Below are 7,838 nucleotides of genomic sequence, written 5' to 3'. Positions count from 1 at the left end.
TACCAACCAAAAGGAGTCCAGGACCAGATGGATTCACAGCCGAATTCTTCCAGAGGTACAAGGAGGAACTGGTACCATTCCTTCTGAAACTATTCCAACCAATAGAAAAAGAGGGAATCCTCCCTAACTCATTTTATGAGGCCAGCATCATCCTGATACCAAAGCTGGGCAGAGACACAACCAAAAAAGAGAATTTTAGACCAATATCCTTGAGGAACATTGATGCAAAAATCCTCAATAAAATACTGGCAAACAGAATCCAGCAGCACATCAAAAAGCTTATCCACCATGATCAAGTGGGCTTCATCCCTGGGATGCAAGGCTGGTTCAATATACGCAAATCAATAAATGTAATCCAGCATATAAACAGAACCAAAGACAAAAACCACATGATTATCTCAATAGATGCAGAAAAGTCCTTTGACAAAATTCAACAACCCTTCATGCTAAAAACTCTCAATAAATTAGATATTGATGGGATGTATCTCAAAATAATAAGAGCTATCTATGACAAACCCACAGCCAATATCATACTGAATGGGCAAAAACTGGAAGCATTCCCTTTGAAAATTGGCACAAGACAGGGATGCCCTCTCTCACCACTCCTATTCAACATAGTGTTGGAAGTTCTGGCCAGGGCAATTAGGCAGGAGAAGGAAATAAAGGGTATTCAATTAGGAAAAGAGGAAGTCAAATTGTCCCTGTTTGCAGATGACATGATTGTATATCTAGAAAACCCCATTGTCTCAGCCCAAAATCTCCTTAAGCTGATAAGCAACTTCAGCAAAGTCTCAGGATACAAAATCAATGTACAAAAATCACAAGCATTCTTATACACCAACAACAGACAAACAGAGAGCCAAATCATGAGTGAACTCCCATTCACAATTGCTTCAAAGAGAATAAAATACCTAGGAATCCAACTTACAAGTGATGTGAACAACCTCTTCAAGGAGCACTACAAACCACTGCTCAATAAAACAAAAGAGGATACAAACAAATGGAAGAACATTCCATGCTCAAGGGTAGGAAGAATCAATATCATGAAAATGGCCACACTTCCCAAGGTAATTTATAGATTCAATGCCATCCCCATCAAGCTACCAATGACTTTCTTCACAGAGTTGGAAAAAACTACTTTAAAGTTCATATGGAACCGAAAAAGAGCCCGCATCACCAAGTCAATCCTAAGCCAAACGAACAAAGCTGGAGGCATCATGCTACCTGACTTCAAACTACACTACAAGGCTACAGTAACCAAAACAGCATGGTACTGGTACCAAAACACAGATATAGATCAGTGGAACAGAATAGAGCCCTCAGAAATAACACCACATATCTACAACTGTCTGATCTTTGACAAACCTGAGAAAAACAAGCAATGGGGAAAGGATTCCCTATTTAATAAATGGTGCTGGGAAAACTGGCTAGCCATAGGTAGAAAGCTGAAACTGGATCCCTTCCTTACACCTTATACAAAAATTAATTCAAGATGGATTAAAGACTTAAATATCAGACCTAAAACCATAAAAGCCCTAGAAGAAAACCTAGGCATTACCATTCAAGACATAGGCATGGTCAAGGACTTCATGTCCAAAACACCAAAAGCAATGGCAACAAAAGCCAAAATTGACAAATGGGATCTAATTAAACTAAAGAGCTTCTGCACAGCAAAAGAAACTACCATCAGAGTGAACAGGCAACCTACAAAATGGGAGAAAATTTTCACAACCTACTCATCTGACAAAGGGCTAATATCCAGAATCGACAATGAACTCAAAGAAATTTACAAGAAAAAACAAACAACCCCGTCAAAAAGTGGGCAAAGGACGTGAACAGACACTTCTCAAAAGAAGACATTTATGCAGCCAAAAAACACATGAAAAAATGCTCACTATCACTGGCCATCAGAGAAATGCAAATCAAAACCACAATGAGATACCATCTCACACCAGTTAGAATGGCAATCATTAAAAAGTCAGGAAACAACAGGTGCTGGAGAGGATGTGGAGAAATAGGAACACTTTTACACTGTTGGTGGGACTGTAAACTAGTTCAACCATTGTGGAAGTCAGTGTGGCGATTCCTCAGGGATCTAGAACTAGAAATACCATTTGACCCAGCCATCCCATTACTGGGTATATACCCAAAGGACTATAAATCATGCTGCTATAAAGACACATGCACACGTATGTTTATTGCGGCAGTATTCACAATAGCAAAGACTTGGAACCAACACAAATGTCCAACAATGATAGACTGGATTAAGAAAATGTGGCACATATACACCATGGAATACTATGCAGCCATAAAAAATGATGAGTTCATGTCCTTTGTAGGGACATGGATGAAATTGGAAATCATCATTCTCAGTAAACTATCACAAGGACAAAAAACCAAACACCACATGTTCTCACTCATAGGTGGGAATTGAACAATGAGAACACATGGACACCGGAAGAAGAACATCACACTCTGGGACTGTTGTGGGGTGGTGGGAGGTGAGAGGGATAGCATTAGGAGATATACCTAATGCTAAATGACGAGTTAATGGGTGCAGCACACCAGCATGGCACATGTATACATATGTAACTAACCTGTACATTGTGCACATGTACCCTAAAACTTAAAGTATAATAATAATAAAATAAAAACAAGAGAGATATCTTGGTTGCTTCTAGTTTTTGGAATTATAGATAGAGCAGCTGTAAACATTTGCGTGCAGATATTTGTATAGATATAAATTTTCAATTCATTTGGGTAAACACCTGGTGTGATTGCTGGGTCCTATGGTAAGACTATGTTGTATTTTTTAATAAGCTATAAAAATGTATGCTAAAGTGGCTATACCACTTTGCATTTCCACTTGCAATGACTGATCATTCCTGTTGCTTCTTCAACCCTGTCAGCATTTGGTATTGTCAGGTTTTTTATTTTAGCAATTTTAATAGGTGTGTAGTAGTATCTTATTGTTTTAATTTTCAATCCTCTAGGGAGACACATTGTTGAGTATCTTTTTTATATGCTTATTTGCCATGTGAATACTTCTTTGGTGAAGTGTTTATTCAGATCTTTTGCCCATTTTTAATTGGGTTGTTTATTTTCTTATTGTTGAATTTTAAGAGTTCTTTGTATATTTTTAATAGAAGTCCTTTATGAGATATGTGTTTTGTAAATATACTCTACCAGGCTGTGGCTTGTCTTTTCACTTACTCAACAAAGTATTTTACAGAGCAAATGTTTATAATTTTAATAAAGTCTAACATCAATTTTTTCTTGGATTATACTTCTAGTGTTTTATCTAAAAAGTCATTCTCAAACCCAAAGTCACCTAAACTTCTCCTTTATTATCATCTATAAATTTTATGGTTTTGTGTTTTACATTTAGGTTTTTAACTCATTTTAGTTAATTTTTTTGTGAAAGGTATGTGTTTTGTGTCTAGATCCATGTAGTCTTATGTAGTTAGCAAGTTGTTTTAGCTCCATATTTTGATGATCCTTTCTCCATTGACTTACCTGTGCCCCTTTGTTAAAGATCGGTTTATTTGTGTAGGTCTATTTCTGGACTCTTATTCCATTCCATTGATCCACTTGTCTGTTCTTTTTCTAGTACCACATCATTTTTTGTTAAAGTCTTGAATAGTGTTGACTCTAGGATTTTCTTGTTCCCCTTCAGGATTGGGTTGGCTATTCAGGGTCTTCTTCTTTCTATATAAACTTCAAAACCAGTTTGTTAATATACACAAATAATTTGCTAAAATTTTGATTGTGATTGCCTTAAATCTACAGATCAAGTTGGGAAAACCAATACATCTCTGTTTATTAAGATCTTTGATTTTTAAAATCAATTTTATAGTTTTCCTCATATAAATCTTGCATATATTTTGTTAATTTATATCTAGGTATTTCATTTTTTTGATGCTAATGTAAATGATGTGTTTCTAATTTCAAATTCCAGTTGTTCATTGCTGGTTTGCAGGAAAGCAACTGACTTTTGTAGATTAACCAACAGCACACTTTTGTTTATTATCTTGCAGACTTGCTATAATCGCTTATTAGTTCCAGGAAGGCTTTTTATTTTTTCTCAGTCAACAATAGATAATCATGTCATCTGCTAACAAATACAGTTTTGGTTCTTCTTTTACAATGTATATACCTTTTACTTCCTTGTTTTATTGCATTAAGACTTTTTCGATACAATGTTAAATAGGAATGATGAGAGGGGACATCTTCCCAGTCTTAGGAGAAAAACATCTAGTTCCTTATCAAGTATGGTCATATCTGTGGATTTGGCAAAAGATGCTCTTTTTCAAGTTGGGTGTTCCCACTCCTATTTTCTGAAAGAGATTATGGATAATTAATATACTTTCTTGTTAAATATTTGTTTCTTAAATTCACCAGTGAAACCATCTGGCCCTGGTGTTTTTATTTTTGGAGGATTATTAATTATCAATTTAATTTCTTCAATAGATATTGAGCTATTCAGATGATATATTTCTCTGTGTGTGAGTTTTGGTAAATTATGTCTTTCAAATAATTTTTCCATTTCTTCTAAGTAAGTAAGCAAATTTGAGAGCATGGAAACATTTATATTATATTCATTTATTATCCTTTTAATATCCATAGGATTGGTAGTAATTTCTGATATTAGCAGTTTGTGACTTCTTTCTTTTTTTTTTTTTGGTTAGCCTGGCTAGAGGCTTATCAATCTTATTAATTTTTTTCAAAGAACTGGCTTTTAATTTCAATGATTTTCTCTTTCAATTTTTTCCTGCTTTTAATTTCATTGATATCTGTTTTAATTTTTATTAGTTCTTTTCTTCTGTTTGCTTCAGGTTTGTACAGCTGTTTTTTCTCTAGCTTACATAGGTGAAATTTTAGGTTATTGATTTTAAATGTTTCTTCTTCGCTAATATATGCATTCAATACTACAAATTTCCCTCTGAGCACTGCTTTTTCTGCATTTCACAAAGTTTGATAAGTTGTATTTCATTTAGTTCAAACATTTTAAAATGTCTTTTGAAATGTCTTCTATGACCTACATTTTATTTAGAAATGTGTTGTTTAATCTGCATATTTTGGAACATTCCAGCTATCTTCTGTTTTTTTTTTTTCTAGTTTAATAGTATTTATTGGGGTCTGAGAGCATGCTTTGGGTGATGTTTATTATTTTGTTAAGTTGTGTTTCGTGGCTCAGAATGTGATCTATCTTGGTAAAAGTTCCATGTGAGCTTGAGAAGAATGTGTATTCCGCTGTTGTTGAACAGTGGATTCCATAAATGTCAATTAAATTCTGTTGCTATTCAGTTCAACTATATCTTCTCTAATTTTCTGCTGGCTGGATCTGTCAATTACTGATAGTGTGGTGTGGTGTTGAAGACTGTGATTATAATAGCGAGTTTGTCAATTTCTCCTATTTCTATCAGTTTTTGCCTTATGTATTTTGGCCCTCTCTTGTTAGGCAATTCCCTCAAAACCAGCTACAAAATATGCTAGATGTTGTCATGGGAAAAATGGACAATATGCAGGAACAGATGAATAATGTAAGCAGAGCGAAGGAAACCAGGAAAGAACCAAAAGAAAATGTTAGAAATAAAAAAATTTGTAACAGAAATTAAGAATACCTTTGATGGATTTGTCAGTAGACTGGATATGGTCAAGGAAAGAATCCAGAAGCTTTTTTCATTAGAACTCTTAGCATATTAATCATAGTTATTTTAAATTCCCAGGCTTCTAATCATTCCAAGATCTATGCTCTATCTGTACGTGGTTCTGATGCTTACTTGTCTCTTCCGACTTTTCCTCCTGCTTTTTGGGATGTCTTGTAATTTTTAATAATTTATACATGATGTATTAGGCAATAAGAACTGAGGTAAATGGGCTTTAGTGTGAGGTTTTAGATACATTTATCTGGCTAAGAAGAGTGAGGCTGTGTTTACTGTTTACTGTAGCTGTAGTTGTCAGGTTCCTCTAGTGTTCTCATTTTTGTCTGCCTATTTTCCTTGGGTGTTTCTAGAGACTCCTTCTTAAGTAGAATCCGTGTCTTGCTACTCTATCACTTGTAATCCACTGTTATGCTGGAGCTCTGTAGATGGGGTAGTAAGGTATTGGAGAGGATAAATGTCCAATCATCTTATGATTAAATCTCTGTTTTGCTTTTTTTTCTTCTTTGAGATGAAGTCTTTCTCTGCTGCCCAGGCTGGAGTGCAGTGGTGCATTCTCAGCTTACTGCAACCTCTGCCTCCTGGGTTCAAGCAATTCTCCTGCTTTAGCCTTCTGAGAAGCTGGGATTACAGGTACACACCAACATGCCCAGCTAATTTTTGTATTTTTAGTGGAGACAGGGTTTTTGCCATATTGGCCAGGCTGGAGCTTTTATTTTTTATTTTTGGTCTTTTCAAGTGGGCCAGAGTCCTTGGGCTGTGACCTTCAGAAGAGTTTTTTAGTTTTTTTTTTTCTCCTCCCCTTATATAAGGCAGGAAGGCCAGAGGGGGCTTAAATTGTCCAATTGCCTTATCCTTCATTCTTTATATGCTTTCTTTCACAATCTGGGAAGTATTCTTTAAATAGGTGTCAAATATTTATTTAGAAGAAAACTTAGGTACAGTTGGGGAGGACAGAAGAGGGAACACCTTTCAATACTCTGAGTATTTCATCCTAAAATTGCATACTGAATTTAGCAAACACCATGTACTTAACCAGATCCACCTTCCTTCAGAGACCACAGTGGTTTTAAATGTCCACAAATTCTTTGATACTCTTCCCTTCAGGACATGGAGCTTCCCCTTCTATTTGAGTGTGAACTGGACTTAGTGAGTCACTTCTGATGAGTAGAAAGAAAAATGAAAATGTGATTTCAGAAATGGGGTCATAAAAAGCACTGCGGCTTCTTGCTTGCAATCTCACCTGCTCTTGGATCACTCAGATGAAGACACCCAGGTACTAGTGAGAAACTGAAGCTTTCTGCCAAGACCCAGTAGGAAATGTAGCTGTCTGTCATTAGCTGTCAGTGGGCTATCTTCAAGTGGATCCACTAGTGCTGGCCTTGAGATGACTGCATGCTGGCTGACATGTTTGCAACCTCACGAGATACCCTGGGCAGAACCACATAGCTAAGCTGCTCCTGGATTCCTGACTCTCAGACTCTCAGACACTGTGTGAGATAATAAATGTTTGTGTTTTAAACTACTATTTAATTCAGCTATTTAAAATATATCTATGATGACTTAAGTATAGTCCTTGGCAGTCTTACTCTACTACACATCACACCATCACATTACACAGACACACACACACACACACACACACATATCCCTCTGTTGATTTCCAAAATATTTACTCAAATTTAATTTCTTAAATATTATAATTTTGCCCATCTCATTACATTTTAGTGCTACTTACCTGGTAGAGTTGGCAATCAGATCTATTTGACTGGCTAATCCATCCCTTAATGTGCCTCTCTTTGGGGTAGAAGAGTGATACAACACTATTTTAGCAGTGGGATTTAAGGCTTTTTCACCAAGGCTAGAGACTAGCCTTGGGAGTAGTGAACCCTAGAGCCAGCAAACGAGTCCCTAAGAGCCCTGGGGTAGGCCTCATGTTTTTTTCTTCAGTCCTTGTATTATTATTCAGAGGGAAGCCAGGGAATCTAGTACTTGATATACATTAAGTAAGAGGATGAAGAAAGGCAGCACAGAGACAGGGAAGTGAGGATAGCATCCTTTCCAATGACTTTGCCTCGGTGACTAAATGATGTTGGAGGCTTAGTGAAGTGTGGACTCTGAGGTACCACTATATATCCTTTCATTCAACAGATATTTATTGAGCTCTCACTATGT

The sequence above is a fragment of the Homo sapiens genome, chromosome 1, assembly GCF_000001405.40.
Source record: "Homo sapiens chromosome 1, GRCh38.p14 Primary Assembly".
Lineage (NCBI taxonomy): Eukaryota > Metazoa > Chordata > Mammalia > Primates > Hominidae > Homo > Homo sapiens.
Note: the sequence above shows the minus strand (reverse complement) of the source record.